Raw genomic sequence first — 24,803 nt, forward strand, 5'->3', positions numbered from 1 at the left:
TCAGTCCTGTTATCCTTCTTCATATTCTCTCTCCCCTTTGTCTCAGGCTCCGATTATTCAAGGATGTTCCTGATAGCCGGATTTTGGTGTGTGGTGGAGACGGCACAGTAGGCTGGATTCTAGAGACCATTGGTCAGTGCAGGGAGGGGCGTGGGGAAGGTATTGGGGTCGTAGTCTTGCAGAGCTAACTCACTCCATCCTTCTCTTCACCTGCCTCCGCAGACAAAGCTAACTTGCCAGTTTTGCCTCCTGTTGCTGTGTTGCCCCTGGGTACTGGAAATGATCTGGCTCGATGCCTAAGATGGGGAGGAGGTAAGTGGTTAGAAATTGTTTTGCTGTAGGCTGAGAGGAGTTGTGTAGGAAGGGAAAGGCACTTAGAGAAGAAACTAGGCATCTGGTATGGAAAGGATTGGGGAAGAAGAGGGGCACAGACAGGTGGATACAAAAGTGGAATGTCCAAAAAGAAGAGAGCTTTGGAAGAAGCAGGGACCACAATCTGAACCTAGAAGGGTCAAGGGTGATAGTCCCCTTTCCTGTAAATATTTTTATGTTTCTCCCAACCAACTCTTATGGCTCAGAGAATCAAGGAATATGGGGGTGGGGAACAATGTGTGAATAAGGAAGGTTGTATAAGAGCTAAGCCAGATGCTGAATGATGGAGCTAGCAGGTCATGACTCATTCACTCATTCAAACAATTAACCAGGTAGTCATTAATTAATTCACTATGATTTCTTTCAGAGTATTGCAATAGTCTCCTAACTGCTCTCCCATTTCTAATCTCTTATGCCTTTCAAACAGAAGGAGTTTGAGGGATGGTATTGGTAGATAAAGAGGTCAGTGTAGGGCAGATTGTGTTTGAGGAATCTTGGAGTTGAGGTTATTGGGTTCAGGGTCCAGCTCTAAGATCTTGCTGGAGATCTTAGGGAATAGAGATCTGCTAAGGGCAGCGGAAGGCATTCTAGGTGGAGGAAGTAGTGTAAGGCCAGAGGAGCCACCAAACAACATGGTGGTGCATTGGGGGAACTGTAAGTCATTCATCATGATTGGGACATAGGGTGAAAGGTGGAAAATGTGGAGAGGGAAGACTAGTTGAGCAGAGTCCAGATGATGGAGGGTTATGAATACTGTGCCAGGGAGTTTTTAATTTTATCCTGTCAGAGATTGCAAGCTGACAGCCCACAGTAATGATTTTGTGTTGTTTTGTATTAGTTGCCTTGCAGTGTTTTCAATTTCTTTGTACTTGATTATTTCTAAGTGGGACATGTATTCTTCAGTTTATCACAATCCCCTTGGCTCCCTGCTAGTCACTTATTCACTTTCCCTTTCTTTTTTTTTTTTCTTGAGATGGAATCTCGCTCTGTTGCCCATGCTGGAGTGCAGTGGTGCCATCTCAGCTCACTGCAACCTCTGCCTCCCAGGTTCAAGTGATTCTCCTGTCTCAGCCTCCTGAATAGCTGGAAATACAGGTGTGTGCCATCACGCCCTGCTAATTTTTGTATTTTTAGTAGAGACGAGGTTTCACCATGTTAGCCAGGATGGTCTTGAACTCCTGACCTCAAGTGATCTGCCCACCTAGGCTTCCCAAAATGTTGGGATTACAGGTGTAAGCCACCATGCCCAACCCACTTTACCATTCAAGCCACTCAGGTATTTGAGTGTGCAATCCCTGAACTATGAGCAAACTCTTTTTTTTTCTTTTCTCTTTTTTTTTTAACTCAATCAAACAAGCAGCAGTGAGGGGGAACTCGATGTAAGTAAAAGATGTAACTAAAAGAACAAATAGGAAGAAATATCTCTGAGTGCTCATTATAACTTGTTTTATATATAGACATATAACCAATTCTTTGACCAGTTTTCAGATCCTCAACATCTGACTTCTTCATTTATAATATTAGATATTTTGAAATTACATATTTTATGTCTTCCCTGTATTCTGCAAACAAAAATCAAGTTAGCATAAACAAGCAAACAAGTTAGCAGAAAACATTGCAGTTTTCTGCTAACTCAACCTGAATCATGACAATAAGGATATAAATGTAGCACTAATGAAAATGTATGTTGGGCTGGGCACGGTGGCTGATTCCTGTAATCCCAACACTTTGGGAGGCCAAGGTCAGAAGATCGCTTTAAGCCAGGAGCTGGAGACCAGCCTGGACAACAAAGTGAGACCAAGTCTCTACAAAATATTTTTTAAAAAATTAGCTGGGCATGGTGGCACGCACCTGTAGTCCCAACAACTCAGGAGGTGGAGGCTGGAGGATTCCTTGAGCCCAGGAGTTTCAGGCTGCAATGAGCTATGATTGGGCCACTGCACTCAATCCTGGCTGACACAGTGAGATCTCATCTCTAAAAATAAATAAACACACAAATAAATAGCCAGGCATGGTGGCACATGCCTATAGTCCCAGCTGAGGCTGAGGCGGGAGGATTGCTTCAGCTGAAAAGATCGAGGCTGTAGTGAGCCATGATTGCACCACTGCACTCCAGCCTGGGCAACAGTGTGAGACTTTAAATTAAAAAATAAAAAGGAAAACATGTTGACACTGAAAAAATCATAAGGTTCGAAGAGGGGGGATTGAAGGGATTATCACTATGGGAGCTCTGTGGAAGATGGATTGTAGGAAGGAGACAGAATAGGAAATTACCTGTTTGCAGTAGTCCAGACAAGAGATGATGAATACAGAAGCCAAGGCAGCAGCAGTGGAGTTAATGAGGTAGAAGCCACAGCTCTGGATAACTGATAGGTTGTGGAGAAGGAGGTAGAGAAAAGTCTAGGACATTTCCTAGGTTTGTGGATTCAGCAGATGGAGGTGGCATTTATTTATTCATTTATTCATTTATTTATTTTTATTTATTTATCTTTTTGAGACAGAGTCTCATTCTGTTGCCTAGACTGGAGTGCAGTGGCACAATCTCAGCTCACTGCAACTTCTACCTCGCAGGTTCCGGCGATTCTCCTGCCTTACCCTCCCGAGTAGCTGGGATTGCAGGTGTCCACCACCACATCCAGCTAATTTTTGTATTTTAAGTGGAGACGAGATTTCACCATGCTGGCCAGGCTGGTCTCGAGCTCCTGACCTCAGGTGATCCGCCCACCTCTGCCTCCCAAAGTGCTGGGATTATATGCGTGAGCCACCGTGCCCAACCTTGGGGTGGCATTTATTAAGACAGGGAATATAGGAGGAAGACCAGTTTAAGGAAGAAAAATTCAGTTTGGGGCAGGTGGAGATGTTGTGGTGGGTGGTTAGAAATACATGTCAGGAATTTAGGAGAGAAGTCAAATATTTTAGGAGATACATGTTTGAGAGTCATCTGCTCCTAGGTGGTAATTGACATTCTGAAAGTAGCTGAGATTACCCAGAGAAAGAGGTAAGAGAAGGTGAACAAAGACAGCAAGATCCTGGTAAACACCCTATTTAACAGTTGAGCAGAGGAAGAGGAGTTATTAAAGGGTCTGCATTAGCGTCCCATTGCTGCTGTCGCCAATTACCACAAACAGTGGCTTAAAGCAACACAAATTTATTGTCTTACAGTTCTGGATGAGAGAAGTCCAAAATGGGTCTCACTAGGCTAAAATCAAGGTGTTGGCAGGGCTGAGTTCTTTTCTAGAGGCTCTAGGGAATAATCCTTTGCTTTTTCTAGTTTCTACAGGCTGTCTGCATTCTTTGGCTCAAGGTCCCCCTTCCAACCAGTGGTCTTATCACTCCAACCCCTGCTTCCACAGTCACATCTCCTTTTACAACTCTTTTCTCCTGCCTTCCTCTTTCACTTATAAGGACCCCTGTGATTACATTGGTACCACCCAGATGATCCAGTATGATCCCCCATCTCAAAATCCTCATTTTTTTTTTTTTTAAGACAGAGTCTCCCTCTGTTGCCCAGGCTGGAGTGCAGTGGCACAATCTCGGCTCATTGCAACCTCTGCCTCCCTGGCCCAAGCAATTCTCATGTCTCAACCTCCCAGGTAGCTGGGCTTACAAGCCTATGCCAACACACCGGCTAATTTTTGTATTTTTAGTAGAGACAGGTTTCACCGTGCTGCCCATGCTGGTCTCGAACTCCTGACCTCAAGTGAACCACCTGCCTCAGCCTCCCAAAGTGCTGAGATTACAGGCGTGAGCTACCATGCCTGGCCCAGAATCCTCAATTTAAATGTATCTGCAAAGTCTCTTTTTCCATGTAAGGTAACATTCACAGTTTCTTTTTTTCTTTCTTCTTCTTTTTTTTTTGTTTTTGAGAGGGAGTTTTGCTCTTGTTGCCCAGGCTGGAGTGCAATGGCACGGTCTGGGCTCAATACCACCTCTGCCTCCCAGGTTCTAGCGATTCTCCTGCCTCAGCCTCCCTAGTAGCTGGGATTACAGGCATGTGCTACAACACCTGGCTAATTTTGTTTTGTTGTTGTTGTTGTTGTTGTTGTTTTTGGAGATGGAGTCTCACTCCATCGCACAGGCTGGAGTGCAGTGGCGCGATCTCAGCTCACTGCAACCTCTGCCTCCCAGGTTCAAGTGATTCTCCGGCCTCAGCCTCCTGAGTAGCTGAGATTACAGGCGTGCGCCATCACAACTGGCTAATTTTTGTATTTTTAGTAGAGACAGGGTTTCGCCATGTTGGCCAGGCTGGTCTCAAACTCCTGACCTCAGGTGATCCACCCGCCTCGGCCTCCTAAAGTGCTGGGATTACAGGCGTGAGCCACCTCACCCAGCAATATTCACAGTTTCTTGAGATTAAGATGTGGACATCTTTGAGAAGCTAGTATTCTGCCTACCACAAAGACTAAAAAGGAATAGTCAAAGAGAAAGGAAAGTCCCTCTGTAACCGAGAGAGTGATATTTCAGAGGTTAAGTGAAGACTTTCAAGAGTTAAAATGAGAACGAAAGATACACTGTTGGCAGGAGTCATTGGCAATCTTTGCCAAAAAAGTTTCAGCAGGGTGGGATGGGCAAAAGGTAAATTACAGTGGATTGAACCCTCAGTGGAGTGTGAGGAAGTGGAGACTTTTTTTCTTTTTCTTTTTCTTTTCTTCCTTTCTTTCTTTTTTTTTTTTTTTTTTGAGGCAGAGTTTTGCTCTTGTTGCCCAGGCTGGGGTGCAATGGCGCGATCTCGGCTCATTGCAACCTCCACCTCCCGGGTTCAAGCGATTCTCCTGCCTCAGCCTCCCGAGTAGCTGGAATTACAGGCATGTGCCACCACGCCCAGCTAATTTTGTATTTTTAGTAGAGATGGGGTTTCTCCGTGTTGGTCAGGCTGGTCTCGAACTCCTGACCTCAGGTGATCCACCTGCCTTGGCCTCCCAAAGTGCTGAGATTACAGATGTAAGCCACTGCGCCCAGCTGTGGAGACATTTTTAAAACCTTTTTTCTTCCCTGACTACAATTATAATACATGCTGGTGGTAAAAAATAACTCAAACATTTCATATACATGTGCCAAGAAAGTGAAAGCTCCCTATAATCTATGCCCTACAGTTTTGGGGGCTGTTCCTCCATGTTTTACTTCCTAGACACAAACTAACATGTATTTAAACAATGAGATCATTTTATAGATGTTTTTCTTCTTTTTCTAACTTAACAGTTCATATTGATTATCATTATATTTCTATACAGTCAGGTTTGCCTCATCCATTTTAGCACTGAATAGTGTTCCGTTGTGTGAATGTGTAATCATTTATAAACAGTTCCCTATTGGTGGACATTAGGGTAGCATTCAGTTTTTTAATCTTACAAACCATGGTGCAGTGAACACTCATACATCTATCTCTGCGCACAGATATGAACATTTCTCTAGGAGAGACTTCTAGAAGTAGAATTGCTTACTCGGAGAATATGAACATTTTTATTTTATTTTATTTATTTTTTTGAGACGGAGTTCCACTCCTGTTACCCAGGCTGGAGTGCTATAGTACAATCTCGGCTCACTGCAACCTCCACCTCCGGGTTCAAGCGATTCTCGTGCCTCAGCCTCCCAAGTAGCTGGGACTAAAGGCACGCGCCACCACGCCTGGCTAATTTTTTGTATTTTCGGTAGAGACGAGGCTTCACCATGTTGGCCAGGCTGATCTCGAACTTTTGACCTCAGGTGATCCTCCCACCTCGGCCTCCCAAAGTGCTGGGATTACAAGTGTGAGCCACCATACCCAGCCGAAAATAACTATTAATAGTAAAATGTTCATGCTGGACATGGTGGCTCATGCCTGTAATCCCAGCACTTTGGGAGGCCAAGGCGGGTGGATCATGAGGTCAGGACTTCAAGACCAGCCTGGCCAAAATGGTGAAACCCCGTCTCTACTAAAAATACAAAAATCAGCTGGGTGTGGTGGCAGGCACCTGTAATCCCAGCTACTCAGTAGGCTGAGGCAGGAGTAATCGCTTGAACCCAGGAGGCGGAGGTTGCAGTGAGCCGAGATCATGCCACTGCACTTCAGCCTGGACGACAGAGCTAGACTCCATCTCGAAAAAAAAAAAAAAGGTATTTTCTTTTTAAAAAACTATTCAAATAGCTGAACATGGTGGCTCACACCTGTAATCCCAGCACTTTGGGAGGCCAAGGCTGGAGGATCGCTTGAGCCCAGGAGATTGAGACCATCCTGGGCTACACAGTGAGACCTCATCTCTATGAAAAATAAAATAATTAACCAGGCATGGTGGCACACGCTTGTGGTTCCAGATACTCAGGAGGCTGAGGTAGGAGGATAGCTTGAGCCTGGCAGGTTGAGGCTGCAGTGAGCCAGTGCACTCCAGCTTGGGCAAGAGAGCAAGATCCTGTCTCAAAAAAAAAAAAAATTACACAAATGGGCTGGGCGCAGTGGCTCACGCCTGTAATCCCAGCACTTTGGGAGGCCAAGGTGGGTGGATCACGAGGTCAGGAGATCGAGACCATCCTGGCTAACATGGTGAAACCCTGTCTCTACTAAAAATACAAAAAATTAGCTGGGCCTGGTGGCACACGCCTGTAATCCCAGCTACTTGGGAGGCTGAGCAGGAGCATAGCTTGAACCTGGGAGGCAGAGGTTGCAGTGAGCTGAGATCATGCCACTGCACTCTAGTTTGGGCAACAGAGCCGGACTCCATCTCAAAAAAAAAAAAGAAAAACTTACATAAATAAGTCATCAGTACGTTGTCACCGTAAAGATTTAAAGACTCCCCACAAAACTCCATGTACCTCCTCAGAGATAAACATTGTTTCCTATTTACAGTCATTTTTCTGTTTTTACATGCATGCACACACACACACACACATATGCATAAACAGACATTTTTTTTTTTTTGAGACGGAGTCTCACTCTGTCACCCAGGCTGGAGTACAATGGCACGATCTCAGCTCCCTGCAACCTCTGCCTCCCGGCCTCAAGCGATTCTCCCTGTCTCAGCCTCCTGAATAGCTGGGATTATGGGCACCCACCACCATGCCCAGCTAATTTTTGTATTTTTAGCAGAGACAGGGTTTCACCATGTTGGCCAGGTTGATCTCGAACTCCTGACCTTAGGTGATCTGCCCACCTCGGCCTCCCAAAGTGCTGGGATTATAGGCATGAGCCATGGCACCCAGCGAAAAATATGTTTTGATAAAATTGGATAACATTTTGATAAAATTTGCCAAAATGCTTTCCAAAAATGACTTATCAAGTCATGCTGTAGCTAACAGCAAATGAGAATGCCAATTTATTCATAAACTCATTAGCATTTGGTTTTCTGAATCTCCTTATACTTTGCCAACCTGATATGCAACAAAAGTTAGCTAATTGTTTTAATTATGGTTCTTGAAATTGTTAGTAATACTGAGCACCTTTCCTATGCATATTGGCCATTTGTATTTTTTCTTCTATCATAGGCTTGTTTGTATTATTTGCACATTTTTCCTTTTTTGTTTTTTGTTTCTTTCTTTGTTTTGAGATAGTCTTGCTCTGCTGCTCATGCTGGAGTACAGTGGTGAGCTCACAGCTCACCACAGCCTCGAACTCCTAGGCTCATGCAATCCTCCCACCTCAGGGTAGCCTGGACTACAGTCACATGCCACCACACCTGGCTAATTTTTTTTTTTTTTGAGACAGAGTTTCACTCTTGTTGCCCAGGCTGGAGTGCAGTGGCGCAATCTCAGCTCACTGCAACCTCCGCCTCATGGGTTCAAGCGATTCTCCTGCCTCAGCCTCCCAAGTAGCTGGGATTGCAGGTGTCCGCCACCACGCCTTGCTGATTTTTTGTATTTTTATAGAGATGGGGTTTCACCATGTTGGCCAGGCTGGTCTGAAACTCCTGACCTGGTGATCTGCCCTCCTCGGCCTCCCAAAATGCTGGGATTACAGGCATCAGCCATCGCGCCCGGCCTACACCTGGCTAATTTTTATTTTATTTTATTTTATTTTATTTTTTATTTTTTGAGACGGAGTCTTGCTCTGTCACCCAGGCTGGAGTGCAGTGGCGCAATCTCGGCTCACTGCAAGCTCCACCTCCTGGGTTCACGCCATTCTCCTGCCTCAGCCTCCTGAGTAGCTGGGACTATAGGTGCCCACCACCACGCCTGGCTAATTTTTTGTATTTTTAGTAGAGACAGGGTTTCACCATGTTAGCCAGGATGGTCTCGATCTCCTGACCTCGTGATCCGCCCGCCTCGGCCTCCCAAAGTACTGGGATTACAGGTGTGAGCCACTGATACCTGGCCAATTTTTATATTTGTTGTAGAGATGAGGTTTTGCCATATTGTCCAGGCTGGTCTCAAACTCCTGGTCTCAAGGGATCACCCGCCTCAGCCTCCCAAAGTGCTGGGACTACAGGAGTGAGCCACTGTGCCTGGCCTTGTTTGTTTGTTTTTTGAGATGGGGTCTCACTATGTTGGCCAGGCTGGTCTCGAACTCCTGGGTTTGAGCAATCCTCCTGCCATGTAGCTGGGATTATAGAGGCTACCATGTCCGTCTAGTTTTAAATTTTAATATAATTATATTTATCTATCTTTTTCTTTTGGGCTTCTAGTTTTGTATCCATTCAAAGATTATAAAAACATTTACTAATGTTTTCTTCTAGTACAAATTCTGGCCAGGCGCAGTGGCCTGTAATCCCAGCACTTTGGGATGTTTGGGGTATGGATGGTCACATCATGCAGGTAGCGAGCATAGAACCCAGTAGGTAGTTTTTCATGCTGCTCCTCCCTTTCCCCAGCACCATTTATTGAATAATCTGTCTTTTCCCCATTTATTTGAAATGACATCACATACTAAATTTCTATATATACTTGAGTCTATTTGGGGGCTCTCTATTCTTTACTATTGAACCTTTTATTGCATTCACTCTGCCTGTATAACACTGTTTACACATGGTTGCTTTGTACTGTGGTCTGTCTGAATGGGGAGTGAAAGCATCAGGGGTCAAGGGTGAGAGAGGATTATCCCCATTTGTCACCCATCTTTTTCAGCATTCTCCTGGCTATTCTCTCCAACCTTCCAGATGACTGTTGGCACCATCTTTGCATATCCACACACATTGGAAACATTCACCCTCCACACAGCATGGAGGAAAGGTCCATGGGAGCTGTGACCATGCACCCTGCCCTGTCACTGGCTAGGGCTGGGAGGCTCTGTAGAAACAGGGCAGAAGGCCCCTGGGAATTTGTGGAGCTGGGAGCTGAGAAGAGGCCTCTCTGGGACCCAGAGCTCAGTGCTAACCTGTCTTCTCCACTCCTAGGTTATGAAGGACAGAATCTGGCAAAGATCCTCAAGGATTTAGAGATGAGTAAAGTGGTACATATGGATCGATGGTCTGTGGAGGTGATACCTCAACAAACTGAAGAAAAAAGTGACCCAGTCCCCTTTCAAATCATCAATAACTACTTCTCTATTGGCGTGGTCAGTGGAATGGGGCCTGGGGAGAAGGGAGAAAGGGGGGGCCAAGCAGTCAGAGGCTGGAGGAGAGCAGAAAAGGAGGGGGAGGTTAAGTGACCTGTGACACAGGGAAATTGGGAGTGCAGTACAGTGCTGAGTTGCAAGGGAAGATCTTGGGACATGCTGTGGGGAGCAGCATGGGGACTTGGGAAAGAGGGGAGACCGGGAGGGAGAGATTGAGCTCTGTACTGACCTTCATGTCCCGAACTCTCCAGGATGCCTCTATTGCTCATCGATTCCACATCATGCGAGAGAAATATCCGGAGAAGTTCAACAGCAGGTTAGGGAAAGGAGGGGGCAGTGTGGGCATACACAGTGTCAGGAGCCAGGTTTTGACCAAGTTTGACTCAGATTGCTCAGAAGAACAGTGGCACCTCTAGGAGGTCCCCCCAACCAAAGCCACCCTTGTTCCCCATGGGACTAAAGTTAGGAGGTTGATGCCCTTCCCTGTCACGTACCACCCCTGCCAGCACTGTGTAACCTGTCCCTCCCTACTGGGCCTTGTGTTGGGGCTGACACAGAATGAAGAACAAGCTATGGTACTTCGAATTTGCCACATCTGAATCCATCTTCTCAACATGCAAAAAGCTGGAGGAGTCTTTGACAGTTGAGGTGTGTGTAATAAGACTTAACCCTACATCCTTTTCAGCTTCTTAATAGCCAAGTTTCTCCCTCCATGGCACCCTTAGGAACTTCCCATATTCTTGAACCTATGCTTCTTTAACCTCCCAGCTCTCCTACCCCAATTCTCCAAGTCCTCAAGATACACTAGTCCCTATTTCCATTCCTTGCACACCTCCAAATCCTGCCTTCTCCAGTTTGTCATCTGGTGGAGGGAGCGATCACATCTATGATCATGCCATGAGGTGAGGATCTGTACCCTCCCTAACTGGGACTGTGCCCCCTCCTCTCAGATCTGTGGGAAACCGCTGGATCTGAGCAACCTGTCCCTAGAAGGCATCGCAGTGCTAAACATCCCTAGCATGCATGGTGGCTCCAACCTCTGGGGTGATACCAGGAGACCCCATGGGGATATCTATGGGATCAACCAGGCCTTAGGTGCTACAGCTAAAGTCATCACCGACCCTGATATCCTGAAAACCTGTGTACCAGGTGAGAGGAGCAGCCTTGGGAGCTGAGTGGGCAGGACGAAGGGAAAGTGTGACTCCCTATGGGGATACCCTGTTTATGTAAAACTTTACTCCCTACTTCGTCCCCAGACCTAAGTGACAAGAGACTGGAAGTGGTTGGGCTGGAGGGTGCAATTGAGATGGGCCAAATCTATACCAAGCTCAAGAATGCTGGACGTCGGCTGGCCAAGTGCTCTGAGATCACCTTCCAGTAAGGAAGACTCCACCAGGGTCCCTGAGGGAAGGTGTGGGGCTGGGGCAGCAGAAGGGTCATGGGAATGGTGGGGAGGGGCTTTACTAGATCTCCCTCAATGACAAAAGGTCTCAAAGCCAACCTAAGAAGCAGAGTTTTGGTATTCGATTGGTAAGGAAATCACCAATGTTCCTTGGCCTCCTATAGCACCACAAAAACCCTTCCCATGCAAATTGACGGAGAACCCTGGATGCAGACGCCCTGTACAGTGAGTATTGACGATCCCAGCCAAAAATTAAACCCTTGGGCTCCATGGATCCTAAATCCCCATTCCACAGCTTCTTTACACCCTTCTGATGCCTGAACTTCCCCTGCACATCATTCATCCTAAACCCTGATTTCTCAGCCCCTGGTTTCCCTATCGTGGCCTCTCTAGGAACCTAGCAACCCACCCCAAACCCCACAGATTTCCCTCTAAATCTCTGAAGCCACAGCCCCAAAGTATCAGGTCCTGCCTCTGAATGTGCTCCCTTCCCTTCCAGATCAAGATCACCCACAAGAACCAGATGCCCATGCTCATGGGCCCACCCCCCCGCTCCACCAATTTCTTTGGCTTCTTGAGCTAAGGGGGACACCCTTGGCCTCCAAGCCAGCCTTGAACCCACCTCCCTGTCCCTGGACTCTACTCCCGAGGCTCTGTACATTGCTGCCACATACTCCTGCCAGCTTGGGGGAGTGTTCCTTCACCCTCACAGTATTTATTATCCTGCACCACCTCACTGTTCCCCATGCGCACACACATACACACACCCCAAAACACATACATTGAAAGTGCCTCATCTGAATAAAATGACTTGTGTTTCCCCTTTGGGATCTGCTAAGTAAGTGGTACACTTCCTTCTTTTATACCTTCACTCCTTAAATGACGTAGATTCTCCCAAGAAGCAACAGAAAAACCAGCATCAGGCTCTGAGTATTTATTTCAGTTAATAGTAGTCTCCCAGGGAAGACTGGGGGAAATATAGGTGTTTCTGTCAACTCCAGGAAAATCACAGCATCATATGAGAGTACTCAGACCTGCTGCCCACTGAGGAGGGGGCTGTTCTCACCAATGGGACAAGAGCAGAAGATGCGGGGTAGACGCAGCCAGTGACTGCTGCTATGTGGCAACTGGGGTACGGAGAAGTCTTGCTTCATAAGTCTGCGCCTGATATTGGGAGAAGGGGTAAACTGGTTAGCAATGGACAAAGGTAGCTTGTCTGTGCTTCTCCAAAGAAGGGAACACACCCATATCCCAGTCTGCTTAGCCTTGATCCTAGCTTCCTCCCCTTCTCCTCACCTCCAGGGTTTACCCTCTCTTATTTCTGTGGTAACCTCTGTCCATTCCTCCCTCACCCCGTAAGCTTTCCTGCCTGAGGACCATGCCACCCCAGGCCTGGGGGATCTGCCCTTCTTGCAGGTAGAAAACTCAGTTCACCCCAGGCCAGGCACGGTGGCTCATGCCTGTAATCCCAGCACTTTGGGAGGCCAAGGTAGGCAGATCACGAGGTCAGGAGTTTGAGACCAGCCTGGCCAACATGGCGAAACCCTGTCTTTACTAAAAATACAAAAATTAGCCAGGTGTGGTGGCAGGTGCCTGAAATCCCAGCTACTCGGGAAGCTGAAGCAGGAGAATCGCTTGAAACTGGAAGGTGGAGGTTGCAGTGAGCTGAGATTATGCCACTATACTCCAGCCTGGGCAAAAAGGGTGAAACTCCGTCTCAAAAAAAAAAAGAAAACTCAGTTTACCCAAACTGCCCCCACTCTTCATATTATTAACAACAGTCATTAATATCAATTATTGCACTCTTGCTTCAGAGCCAGGTGCTTTACTCATTGTTTCTAATCTTTACAACAGCCCCACAGGGCAAGTATTAGTTTACCTACTTTTCAGAGGCTTAGACAGGTTAAGCTACTTCCCCCAGGTCCTACAAGCAAGACTGCAACCCAAGTCTGTCTAACTTAAAAGCCTGGGCTCTTTCCTGGACACCATGCTTCCTCAAAGGGAGAGGTGGTTTCTTCTCCCCTTGAGGAAAAGTGAGTAGTGATAATAAGGGATAAGGGGGTCTGAGCTGTGTGATGAGGCCCTTACCTATATATCAGAGATGCAAGGACCACAGCCATCAACACCAGCAAGATGCCCACGATCAGCGGAACCTGCCCAAGGCCTGCTTCTTGACCTGTGAGAAGAATCCCAGGCACTGCTTCACTCAGTGTCTGCTGCTTGCCAGCTGCCCTCTATCCACTCCCTTCCTCATCTTAGCTCTTGTCCAAGGACCTACCAGGCATGATAAGCTGGGTGCTGACCACTGCCAGGCTGTTGGTATCAGCCAGAGACACATTGAGGCAGTATGTCCCCGAGCCACCCTTCAGTATCTGGTGCAGAACCAGCTGGCAGGCTGGGCTGGGTAGCACAGGCTGGCACAGCCGCTGGGCAGGGGGCTGGCACCCTGGCGATGAGATCTCCATGCAGGCTTCCTTGGGCAGCCTGGAAGAAGTGTCAGCATATATAAGGGGATCTGGGAAGGGACACTAAATGCCAGAGAGCGGAGAAACAGTCAACCAAAGAGTTACCAGCACACTAGTGAGACACTCACCCGCCTTGGCAGGACACAGTCAGCTCAAATGCATCCCCCTCACCGGACGGCACAGCCTGCAGGATCTCGGCACTTTCAATACCCTCTGCAGAGTTGCAAGCTTATCAAATTAGGATTCCTCTACCTGGCCTCCCCAAAAGCCCAGAGACAGAAAAGCCCCAGGGCTGCTCCACCAATCCCATCCCTGTGCTTTCAAATGAGGACTCTGGCATTTGGGTATTCTTCCTATCTAGGTGAGTAATTCCTCCCAAGGTGTGCTTCCACTGACCAGCCCTAGGTAGCACACAGCTGCCTCCATCAGCCACCAAAGTAGGCAAGACTCACGGACAATGTCCAGGGTGACGGAAAAGGAACCATATCGATACAGAACACAATCCAGGGGGACTTGTCTCTTCACCAGCCTTAAGGTGGCTGTACCATCCAGCAGGGGGCCCAGGGAACCTGGCAGGAGAGGATCAAGGAGGCAAGATCAAGAGACAGATGACTCATCTGGAGGCAGAGGCCAAGCAGGCATTTTTTCAGGTTGAACCAGAGTTACTGGATTCTGGAGTCACAGGCTTGGAATCAGATAAGACCTGGGAAACCTTATTCTATAGATAAGGAAACTGAGGCCCAGAAGAAGAAAATGACTCCTCCAGAGTCACAGTTAGGGGTGGCATTGGAGTTTTAAAAAATCCTCAAATGTTTATCACACCCCACACTATGTCAGGTCCTAGGCTAGACATTCAACGTGTGTTAACTCATTTAAGCATCACTGTTTCATTCCTCCCTTTTTGCTTTGGGATGGGAATCCAGGGTTGGGAAATGGAAGGATCAGGATCTCGGAATCTGGGAAGGATTTTCGTGCATTTATGCTTGAACAGAAAATGAGCTATAAATATTATATAAATGATCACAGTCTGTTCCCTGGTCTCGCCAACCGTTCTCAGCAGTAGAGAAAGCAACAAGCTCTTTCCTCATGGCCTAGGGGAAGACCTTGGTTTCCTGAACTCCAGACCTATTCCATGTCATTAAGAGAGACTGGAGGGCTTTATAGCCAGGCCAGTGAGAACTCTGAGGGGACCATAGTGCTAAGCAAAGGATTGGGTAACATCTGAGTCCTGGGTAAGACTTACAGAGTAGAGTAGGGTACCCCACCTCCGTGAACCTCATTCGCACTGATACTCTTACCTGTAATACTTTCCGTAGACATGATTGAGCTGGCATCTGGACCTTCAGGCTCAGGGATAGGTAGCTCTCTAGCTGTGGTCTCCACCCACTCTGTAGTTGTTACCTGTGCAGCTGTGGTTCCAGAAAGCACCACAATTGATACCTCTGCAGGTGTCATACCTGTAGCCTCTGGAGTTGACATCTCTGCCAGTGTGGTACCCATGACCTCTGAAACTGGCACCTTCTCAGGTGTCATACCTGTGCTCTCTGCAGTTGGCATCTGCACAGGTGCAGTGCTTATGACTTCAGTGGTTGGCACCTGCACAGATGTGGTTCCAGAGGGCTCTGCAGTTGGCGCCTGACCAGGTGTAGTACCCACAACTTCTGTAGTAGGCACTTGGCCAGCTGTGGTGTTAGGGGCCTCTGCAGTTGGCCTGTGCCCATCTGTGGTGCCTGGAACTGGGGAGGAGCCACAGGAGGTGAGAGGAATGGCAGCCTGCAGGACCACCTGGGCAGTGACTGGGCCAGGCTCCAGGTAAGTATGAGTGACCACAAGTGCCCGAGAGATCAGGGTTCCACTACTGTCTCCAAAGTCCCAGGTGTAGGAGAGGTCAGCTTCAGCCAGATAGCCACTGGGGTCATGGAGCTGGAGGGCAAAGGTCAGAGGCTGATTTCTCAGGAAGTGCTTGTTCCCTCCATCCAAGGCCCGCAACTGGGACACGCTCACGGAGAAAGGCACCTGGTCTGGGATTGGAGCCAGAAAAGGTGAGAACCAGGCCTGAGCCACAGCTTCTCCTTTCACAGCCACACCCTCCAACTCCAAGCTGACTGGCTGGCCCTTCACTGGCACTAAGCCTCACATTTCTCTGCCTAGGTCTTCCTGGCCCTTCTACTTTAAGTTTGCACAGCATTTCACCTTTCTCCTTTCCAGTCCATCCAAGCCTCCCTGCCTTCTCTTGCCCTACAACTGGCCTTGCCCCTTCCTAAACCCTTACCAGTAATGGTGAAGGCTGAGCTGGAATGAGCAAGAGGCACATAGCTCCGGGATCCCCGGCGATGGTAGACAGTCACTTCCATGGTGTGTGTGCCCAGCATTGCCCTGCCTGTCCCAATGCTCAGCCCAGACACTGGGCCCCCTAGAACTTGCCAGTATTGGCCTGAAGTTTTTGGAATGAAAAGCAAGGAAGAAGAGATTACTGGTCAAAGGGGACTGAGGGACAGGCTTCGAAACGGCACTGGAGATGGGAGGTCAGGAAGTATGATTACTTCTGAGGGTGTTTGGAAGGCTGTGATATGGGGGGACAGGGAAGGGGTCCTAATGAGGCATTCCATGGGGTAGGACTACAATTGAGGAAGAGTTGCCAGAAAGAATTATGATAGAGTTGAAGGGGGCTAGGTGCTAAGAAAGAGAAAAGATCTAAGAGGAAAATGAAGATTAGAGAAAATCACAGAAGTTAAGGTGGAAGGGGCGGCCAAAAGAAAGGTGATCAGGTAGAAAGAAGTAAACACAAGTGTGGATGATAGGCTGAGAAGGGAGTCCCTCACCCCAGGTCTTCCAGACATAAACAAAGCTTCTCTTCTGAGACCAAGAGCCAGATGGGCAAGGTCCACCATCAGGGAAGATGCAGGCATCGTCAGTTTCCTGGGGATACACTGGCTGTCCTCCCCACACCTGGCTCCCTGAAAGATAAATACAGAGTCACTCTCAAACCCTGGCATTCTTTTTTGTATATCAAAACCCCTAAAATTGCTCCCAGGGTATCAGAGAGGGGCTCTGGGAATATTCCCTAGCTAGAAAGTACATTCTCCATGATATAACCATTTGGGGTGGTAGTTGGGGGTTGAGGGTGTGGAAACTACATTTTTTTTTTAGAGACAGGGTCTTAGTCTGATGCCCAGGCTGGAGTGCAGTGGTGTGATCACAGCTCACTGGAGTGTCAACCTCCCAGGGTCAAGCAATCCTCCCACCTCAGCCTCCCGAGTAGCTGGGACTACAGGTATGCACCACCATACCCAGCTAATTTTATTTTTTTGTAGAGACAGGGTCTTGCTATATTGCCAGGACTGGTCTTGAACTCCTGGGCTTAAGCAATCCTCCCACCTCAGCCTCCCGAAGTGCTGGGTTTACAGGCGTGCACCACCATGCCTGGCCAGAAGCTATAATTTAATTGGCCAGGTGTGGTGGCTCATGGCTGTAAACCCAGCACTTTGGGAAGCTGAGGTGGGAGGACTGCTTGAGGCATGGAATTCAAGACCAGCCTGATCAACATAGCAAGACCCTGTCTCTACAAAATACATTTAAAAAAAATTAGCCAGGTGTGGTGGTATGCACCTGTAGTTCCAGCTACTCCAGGGGCTGAGGAAGGAGGATCACTTGAGCCCAGGAGGTTGAGGCTGCAATTAGCTATGATCACACCACTGTACTCCAGCCTGGGAGAGAGAGAAGGACCCCGACTTTAAAATAAATAAATAAATAAATAAATAAAATAAGAAAAATAAAAGAAAAAGAAGATATATGTATATATATATAGCCACATATCAAAATATTTAGAGTGATTTGCTCTAGCTAGTGGAATAAAAATAACAGCACTAGGGGGCCAGGCGCAGTGGCTCACACCTGTAATCCTAGCACTTTGGGAGTCTGAAGCGGTTAAATCACCTGAGGTCAGGAGTTCAAGACCAGCCTGGCCAACATGGTAAAACCCTGTCTCTACTAAAAATACAAAAATTAGCCAGGCGTGCTGGCGGAAGCCTATAATCCCAGCTACCCAGGAGGCTGAGGCAGGAGAATCGCTGGAACCTGGGAGGTGGAGGCTGCAGTGAGCCAAGATCGCACCACTGCACTCCAGCCTGAGCGACACAGCGAGACTCTGTCTCAAAAATAAATACATAAATAAATAACAGCACTAGATAGCATTTATTTAGCCTTTACTGTAGGCTAGAGCAGACACTACATTAAGTACTTTACACATATTATCACATTCTAATCCTTACAACAATCCTTTTATCTTCGGAAATGGAAACACAGTGAGGTGGGCAGATCACTTGATCTCAGGAGTTTGAGTCATCCTGGATAACATGGTGAAACCCCGTCTCTACTAAAAATACAAAAGAATTAGCCGGGCATGGTGACATGCGCCTGTATCAGCTACTCGGGAGGCTACTCCCAGCTACTCAGGAGGCTGAGGCGGAAGGATCACTTGAACCCAGGAGGCAGAGGTTGCAGTGAGCTGAGATCCTGCCACTGCACTCCAGCCTGAGCGACACAGCCAGACTCTGTCTCAAAAAAAAAAAAAAAGAAAAGAAAAGAAAAGAAAAGAAAAAAAAAGAAATGGAAACACAAAACAAGTAACTTGCCCAAGGTCACATATCAAGGACAAGTTTAAATATAGGTCTGTTCAACTTCTAGGTCCCCTGAATTCTGCTGTCCTCCACTTTAGGGACTGTAATTTTCTTTTTTCTTTTTGAGACAGGGTCTCACTCTGTCACCCAGGCTGAAGTACAGTGGCGTGATCATGCAGTCTCGACCTCCCAGGCTCATGATCCTCCCACCTGAGACTGCTAAGTAGCAGGGACTACAACTGTAATTTTCTTTTCTTTTTGCTTTCTGTTTTTTTTTTTTTTTTTTTTTTTGAAATGGAGTCTCGCTCTGTCGCCCAGGCTGGAGTGCAGTGGCATGATCTCGGTTCACTGCAAGCTCCACCTCCTGGGTTCACGCCATTCTCCTGTCTCAGCCTCCCAAGTAGCTGGGACTACATGCGCCTGCCACCACGCCCGGCTAATTTTTTGTATTTTTTTTTTAGTAGAGACAGGGTTTCACCGTGTTAGCCAGGATGGTCTGGATCTCCTGACCTCGTGATCCGCCCGCCTCGGCCTCCCGAAGTGCTGCGATTACAGGCGTGAGCCACCGCGCCCGGCCTTCTCTGTGTTTTTAAATTTTAACTACAATGAGTATGTATTACACATATAACTTGTTTTAAAAATTAAAGGAGGAGGCCGGGTGCGATGGCTCACGCCTGTAATCCCAGAACTTTGGGAGGCCGAGGCGGGCGGATCACAAGGTCAGGAGATGGAGACTATACTGGCTAACACGGTGAAACCCTGTCTCTACTAAAAATACAAAAAAAATTAGCCGGTCATGGTGGCAGGCGCCTGTAGTCCCAGCTACTCGGGAGGCTGAGGCAGGAGAATGGCGTGAACCCGGGAGGCAGAGCTTGCAGTGAGCCGAGATTGCGCCACTGCACTCCAGCCTGGGCGACAGAGCGAGACTCCGTCTCAAAAAAGAAAAAAAAAAAAAAGTAGAGAAGGAAGGGGCATTCCCTGAGCTCACTGGGCATACCAGGGAACCTGAGCCCTAGGAATAAGGACCTAGAATAGAGAAGTACTCACCATTGATGATGGTATTGTTGACCCAGATAACCTGCCCATCTGGCAATACCTTTTGGCTTCCAGGGAAGTTCAAGGCAATAGAGAAGGAGGCATTTGCACCAATCAGTGTAGGCCCATCATTACTGACCTTGAGGGACACTTGACCACCTGGGAAGGAAAGCTACATTAGCTGGGACTCCTGGGCTTCCCCTCCCTGTATACGTTTCCCCTCCTTTTCTTCCCAAGCTACACTCGATGCAGTTCAGCTTGCTTTTTTCCTCATCCCACTCCCACCATGCCCTCCCCTGGAACTTCCAAGTTCCTACCTCTCCAGCAGTCAAGTCTCTGGGCTTCTGTCCACTCTGGATACAGCTGCCTGTTCCAGGCTTTGGTTCTGAGTTGCCTTGAGACACCAAGCCAGTCCTGGTTTCTGGGTACTAAAAGGAATGTGCCATGAAGGGCCCTAGGATCCTTTCAGTTCCTTCTCAGGGATAACACTCTATTCATGTCACTCCATTCATTCTCACATTCGAAGTGCATTTTTTTTTTTTTTTTTTTGAGATGGAGTTTCGCTCTTGTTGCCCAGGCTGGAGTGCAATGGCATGATCTCGGCTCATTGCAACCTCTGTCTCCTGGGTTCAAGCGATTCTCCTGCCTCAGCCTCCTGAGTAGCTGGGATTACAGGCATGTGCCACCATGCCAGGCTAATTTTGTATTTTTAGTAGAGATGGGGTTTCTCCATGTTGGTTGGTCTGGTCTCGAACTCCCGACCTTAGGTGATCTGCCTGCTTTGGCCTCCCAAAGTGCTGGGATTACAGGCGTGAGCCACTGCGCCCGGCTGAAGTGCATTTTTAAAACTCATTTATTTGGCCGGGTGTGGTGGCTCACACCTGTAATCCCAGTACTTTGGGAGGCTGAGGCGGGTGGATCATGAGGTCAAGAGATAGAGACCATCCTGGCCAACATGGGGAAACCCTGTCTCTACTAAAAATACAAAATTAGCCGGGCATGGTGGTGCGCACCTGTAGTTCCAGCTACTTGGGAGGCTGAGGCAGGAGAATTGCTTGAACCCGGGAGGCAGAGGTTGCAGTGAGCTGAGATTCTGAGATTGCACCAGTGTACTCCAGCTGGCGATAGAGTAAGACTCCATCTCAAAAAAAAAAAAAAAAAAAAAAACACAAAAAACCCCTTATTTATTTGTTTATTTATTTATTATTACTCTTTTTTTTTTTTTTTTTTTTTTTTTGAGATGGAGTCTCGCTCTGCCCCCTAGGCTGGAATGCAGTGGCGTGATCTTGGCTCACTATAGCCTCCGCTTCCTGGATTCAAGCAATTCTCGTTCCTCAGCCTCCCAAGTAGCTGGGACTACAGGCACCCACCACCACACCCAACTAATTTTTGTATTTTTAGTTTCGCCATGTTTCATGGTTTCTCCATGTTGGCCAGGTTTGTCTCAAACTCCTGACCTCAAGTGATCCAACCGCTTCGGCCTCCCAAAGTGCTGGGATTATAGGCGTGAGCCACTGCGCCTCGCCTGTTTTGTTTTAAATCAAGACATAATTCACATACCATAAAATTTACTTTTAGCCAGGCATGGTGGCTCACATCTGTAATCCCAGCACTTTGAGAGGCCGAGGCAGGTGGATCACAAGGTCAGGAGTTCGAGACCAGCCTGGCCAAGTGAAACCCTGTCTCTACTAAAAATACAAAAATTAGCCGGGCGTGGTAGTGGGCACCTGTAGTTCCAGCTACTCAGGGGGCTGAGGCAGGAGAATTGCTTGAACCCAGGAGGCGGAGGTGGCAGTGAGCCGAGATCACACCACTGCACTCCAGCCTGGGCTACAGAGCAAGACTCCGTCTCAAAAAAAAAAAAAAATTTACTTTTGAACATGATCAAATTTGTGTTTTAGAAAGATCACGATGGCAAGCAGTGAGGAGGATGGATTAGAGGCTGGCAGAGATTGGGGATGGGGACAGGGAAGACAAAATTATTGTAACTGACCAAGAGAGGTCTGAGAAGAAAAGGATATGCTGGACCTCCATCTGCCCCACCCAGGTCCAACAACTATCAACACCTTGCCACATTTGCTTTGTTTATCCTTACTAGTTGTTGTTTTTGTTTTTGTTTTGGCTAAAGTATGTAAAAGCAAATCCCAGACATCGTGTTATTTTAACCCTACAAATTTAAAATGTATGAGTATTTTCTTGCATAAGCACAATGTCATTTCATGCTAGACAAAATTATCAAACTCAGTCCATATAAAATTTCATGAATATCTGGAAAAATGTCTTATGATTTTTAAAATCAGGATCCAAAATATAAGTACAGTCTTTTTGTTAAGAGCCTTAGGTGGGTGGGTGTGAACAGACTCTTTCCAGGATACATTAAGGAATATAGTAAAAGAAAAAGACTTGAAACTGCAGCACAGCGAGGAAAGTCACATCAAGGAGAACTTCCTAGAAATCTGTGACACTAAACATCTAGGGAGAAAGCAGGGCTGGGATATAATGTATGTATTTCAGCACAGCAGAAACTACCCTCACCCCATTTTTCCCTTTCCTGCAGAAACCTCTCTCCCCTCCCCTTCCCTCCCCTCTCCTCTCCTTTCTGTATATAGTTCAGCACAGCAAAAACTACCCTCACCCCATTTTTCCCTTTCCTGCAGAAACTTCCTTCCCTTTCCTTTCCCTTTCCCCTTTCCTTTCCTTTTGATACAGGGTTTTGCTCTCTCACCCTGCGTGCAGTGGCACGTTCATCACTCACTGCAGCCTCAAACTCCTAGGCTGAAGCCATCTTCCTCATTAGCCTCCCAAGTGGCTAGGACCACAGGTGCTCACCACCAAGCCTGGCTAATTTTTTTTTTTTTTTTTTTTGAGACAGAGTTTCGCTCTTGTTGCCCAGGCTGGAAGGCTGGAGTACAATGGCACGATCTCAGCTTACTACAACCTCCGCCTCCCGGGTTCAAGCGATTCTCCTGCCTCAGCCTCCTGAGTGGCTGGGATTACAGGCATGCACCACCACGCCCAGCTAATTTTGTATTTTTAGTAGAGACTGGGTTTCTCTATGTTGGTCAGGCTGGTCTCAAACTCCCAACTTCAGCTGATCCACCTGCCTTGGTCTCGCAAAGTGCTGGGATTACAGGCGTGAGCCACCAAGCCTGGCCTAGGCCTGGCTAATTTTTTTACGTTTCGTAGAGACAAGGTCTCACTATGTTGCTCAGGCTGGTCTTGAACTCCTGGGCTCAAGCAATCCTATGACCACGGCCTCCCAAAGTGCTGGGATTACAGGTGTGAGCCACTACACCCGGCCTCCTTATCTCTTTTCTTTTCTTTTCTTTTTTTATTTTTTTGAGACAGAGTCTTGCTGTTGCCCAGGCTGGAATGCAATGGTGTGATCTCGGCTCACTGCAACCTCTGCCTCCCAGGTTCAAGCGATTCTCATGCCTCGGCCTCCCAAGTAGTTGGGATTACAGGTGCGTACCACCATGCCCAGCTAATTTTTGTATTTTTAGTAGAGATGGAGTTTCACCATATTGGCCAGGCTGGTCTGACCTCAAGTGATCCACCCGTCTCAGCCTCTCAAAGTGCTAGGATTACAGGCATGAGTTACTGTGCCGGGCCTCATCCCCTTTCTTTTTTTTTTTTTTTTTGAGACGGAGACTCGCTCTGTCACCCAGGCTGGAGTGCATTGGTGTGATCTTGGCTCACTGCAACCTCTGCCTTCTGGGTTCAAGTGATTCTCCAGCCTCAGCCTTCTGAGTAGCTGGGACTACAGGCATGTGCCACCATGCCCAGCTAATTTTTGTACTTTTAGTAGAGACGGGGGTTTCACCATATTGGCCAGGCTGGTCTCGAACTCCTGACCTCGTGATCCACCTGCTTCAGCCTCCCAAAGTGCTGGGATTACAGGCGTGAGCCACGGCGCCCGGCCTCATTCCCTTTCTAATGTGTGCTGTAACCCTAGTTGATTCTGCTGGGGGAGGATCTGGAATCATCTATTGAGCATCCCACCACTAGAACAAGAGAAGTCATAAGATACCCCATTCTTTCTCCACTTCCAACTCTCCTCAGAGCAGCACGGGACATTCCAGACCCTCTCACCACCCCACCCCCGCCCCTTGCTCCTGTCACGAGGCCCAATCCCCCAGAGCCCTTTCATGTGATGCTCAGCTGAGACCCCTCTGCCTATCTCTCCAGCCCCAGAACAAAAGGTCTGGGCTGTGTTCACCCGTACCCATCCCAAGAGGAGAGGATTGTATCTCCTTAGTGTTCTTACCCAATACCACATTCTCTGACTCCCCACTTTAAATCTCCTACCCCAAGAGACGTTTCCTAAAAGAGTCTCCTGCACATTTCACCCCTTTGGAGCCCGTGCTCCAGCTCACTGCCAAGGAAGCCTCAGAATCAGTGCCACAGAGACCTTCTATCCTTCTGCCCCTCCAAGCATATGAGATTATTTTCAGGCAAAATCCCAAATCTCCATGTAGGGAGGGAGCCCAGGTGCCCACATCCTCACTAAATCAAATGAGTGGGAGACGCCTGAAATATTGCCGCTATCTCCCATTAGGAGGACAGAAACCAGAGCAGGGGGAATTCATCCCCAAGTTCACACCTGCTCATGTCCACATATCCACACATACCTTTTGTAGCCCCCACAGCCAGCAAAGCACCTATCACAGCCAAATGAAGAAGGCATCTTTTTAGCACCAGATCCATTGTGTTCTTCCCTCCAGCAACCAAAGGCACTGGGGGGACTGGGATAGGCCCCTATATAAGAAAAGGGTGCTCATTTGCATAGCCCTTCCTCTTCTCCCTCAGAGAAGGCCTGGGAGGGGCCGGAGGAGAGGAAAAAGGAAAAACTGACAAAGGGATCCTGGTCCCTAGACATTGCTTTCCCATCCTGCTACTCAATGACAGTTTCTGGTTTCACTGGGTCACTCTCATCTTGATGCACTCCCGGGCAAGAGCTAACTGAAAGGCAGCTGCGTAACACATACCAGACACAACAGTTTATCATGGGAGAGTGAATTAAACCAGGAACTTCTCAAAAAGACAGAAACAGAACCCTGCATCCCAAAACAGAGACAGTGTCGGGGTATGCTATGAGGCAGAGGCAACGACTCCTCTGAGGCCCAGGATTCCTTTGCAACGAGATTCCCGGCTTCCTGGTTTCCAAAGGAGGCTCCTGGGCCAGGTGGAATTTAACCTTAGGTCGATACATATTTTCCCCAGGATTGGTGAAAATAGTGAGTTAGAAATCAAGAAATCCCTACAGACTAGAGACATAGGTAGGAAACTTGGACCCAAAGCAGGTACTTGGGAAGAGTGTTCAGCCGCCCCACCGGGGAAGAAACTTGTCTAGCCCCCAAGAACCAAACTTGCCTGGGGCGGGATCATTTGCGGGGAGGAGCGCTGGGCTCGCCCCCCGGCTCTGACGTTGACCAATAGAAAGGCCTGGG

The 24,803-nt window shown here is 47.8% G+C and overlaps 2 protein-coding genes across 39 annotated transcripts in view, besides 3 other annotated features; one reads left to right on the top strand and one right to left on the bottom strand.

Annotated features, from left to right (window-relative positions):
* Nucleotides 1-12,072, top strand: part of DGKA (diacylglycerol kinase alpha) — a 26,708-nt gene extending 14,636 nt beyond the window's left edge. For 30 of the 33 annotated variants that reach the window (NM_001413597.1, NM_001413598.1, XM_017018901.3 and 27 more), the window contains 9 exons: nt 47-132; nt 223-312; nt 9,672-9,832; nt 10,084-10,148; nt 10,390-10,480; nt 10,783-10,981; nt 11,089-11,209; nt 11,399-11,459; nt 11,734-12,072. In NM_001413597.1, the coding sequence (NP_001400526.1) occupies nt 47-132; nt 223-312; nt 9,672-9,832; nt 10,084-10,148; nt 10,390-10,480; nt 10,783-10,981; nt 11,089-11,209; nt 11,399-11,459; nt 11,734-11,817 (958 nt within the window). In that variant the 3' untranslated portion in view covers nt 11,818-12,072. Of the gene's footprint in view, nt 1-46; nt 133-222; nt 313-1,345; nt 1,468-9,671; nt 9,833-10,083; nt 10,149-10,389; nt 10,481-10,782; nt 10,982-11,088; nt 11,210-11,398; nt 11,460-11,733 lie in introns of those variants that run through there. The other 3 variants (NR_147027.2, NR_147026.2, XM_047428436.1) reach the window with 2 other exon arrangements.
* Nucleotides 12,154-24,758, bottom strand: PMEL (premelanosome protein). Of its 6 annotated transcripts, none has more exons than NM_006928.5 (12): nt 24,727-24,758; nt 23,985-24,111; nt 19,671-19,781; nt 19,366-19,512; nt 16,522-16,656; nt 15,972-16,133; nt 14,998-15,720; nt 14,152-14,268; nt 13,828-13,912; nt 13,513-13,718; nt 13,323-13,410; nt 12,154-12,398 (listed from the first exon to the last, which is right to left on the bottom strand). In NM_006928.5, the coding sequence occupies exons 2-12, from the start codon at nt 24,058-24,060 to the stop codon at nt 12,263-12,265; spliced, it is 1,986 nt and encodes a 661-aa protein (NP_008859.1). In that variant the 5' UTR covers nt 24,061-24,111; nt 24,727-24,758; the 3' UTR covers nt 12,154-12,262. The 6 variants fall into 6 exon arrangements, with proteins under 6 accessions (NP_008859.1, NP_001307051.1, NP_001307050.1 ...); NM_001320122.1 differs by lacking the exon at nt 24,727-24,758 and having other exon boundaries at nt 14,998-15,108; nt 15,235-15,720; NM_001320121.1 differs by lacking the exon at nt 24,727-24,758 and having other exon boundaries at nt 13,323-13,431; nt 14,998-15,108; nt 15,235-15,720.
* Nucleotides 14,954-15,455: an enhancer, noted in NCBI's record as "H3K4me1 hESC enhancer chr12:56350689-56351190 (GRCh37/hg19 assembly coordinates)". NCBI's record gives its function as "activates a minimal SCP1, AML or CMV promoter by ChIP-STARR-seq in primed H9 embryonic stem cells {active_cell/tissue: H9 hESC(primed)}" and the evidence as "EXISTENCE:reporter gene assay evidence [ECO:0000049][PMID:30033119]".
* Nucleotides 18,580-19,080: an enhancer, noted in NCBI's record as "H3K4me1 hESC enhancer chr12:56354315-56354815 (GRCh37/hg19 assembly coordinates)". NCBI's record gives its function as "activates a minimal SCP1, AML or CMV promoter by ChIP-STARR-seq in naive H9 embryonic stem cells {active_cell/tissue: H9 hESC(naive)}" and the evidence as "EXISTENCE:reporter gene assay evidence [ECO:0000049][PMID:30033119]".
* Nucleotides 24,570-24,649: an enhancer, noted in NCBI's record as "active region_6464". NCBI's record gives its function as "activates an Ori minimal core promoter by ATAC-STARR-seq in GM12878 lymphoblastoid cells {active_cell/tissue: GM12878}" and the evidence as "EXISTENCE:reporter gene assay evidence [ECO:0000049][PMID:35858748]".

Source organism: Homo sapiens, chromosome 12, assembly GCF_000001405.40.
Source record: "Homo sapiens chromosome 12, GRCh38.p14 Primary Assembly".
Lineage (NCBI taxonomy): Eukaryota > Metazoa > Chordata > Mammalia > Primates > Hominidae > Homo > Homo sapiens.

What these genes read in the sequence shown, in the direction of transcription:
- PMEL (NM_001200054.1), bottom strand. Translation starts at nt 24,060, where the DNA reads ATGGATCTGGTGCTAAAAAGATGCCTTCTTCATTTGGCTGTGATAGGT. An exon ending in CACCCAGCTTATCATGCCTG is followed by an intron (nt 13,432 to 13,512) that starts GTAGGTCCTTGG and finishes TGAGTGAAGCAG; the next exon opens with TGCCTGGGATTCTTCTCACA. An exon ending in CTTGCATCTCTGATATATAG is followed by an intron (nt 12,399 to 13,322) that starts GTAAGGGCCTCA and finishes TCCCAATATCAG; the next exon opens with GCGCAGACTTATGAAGCAAG.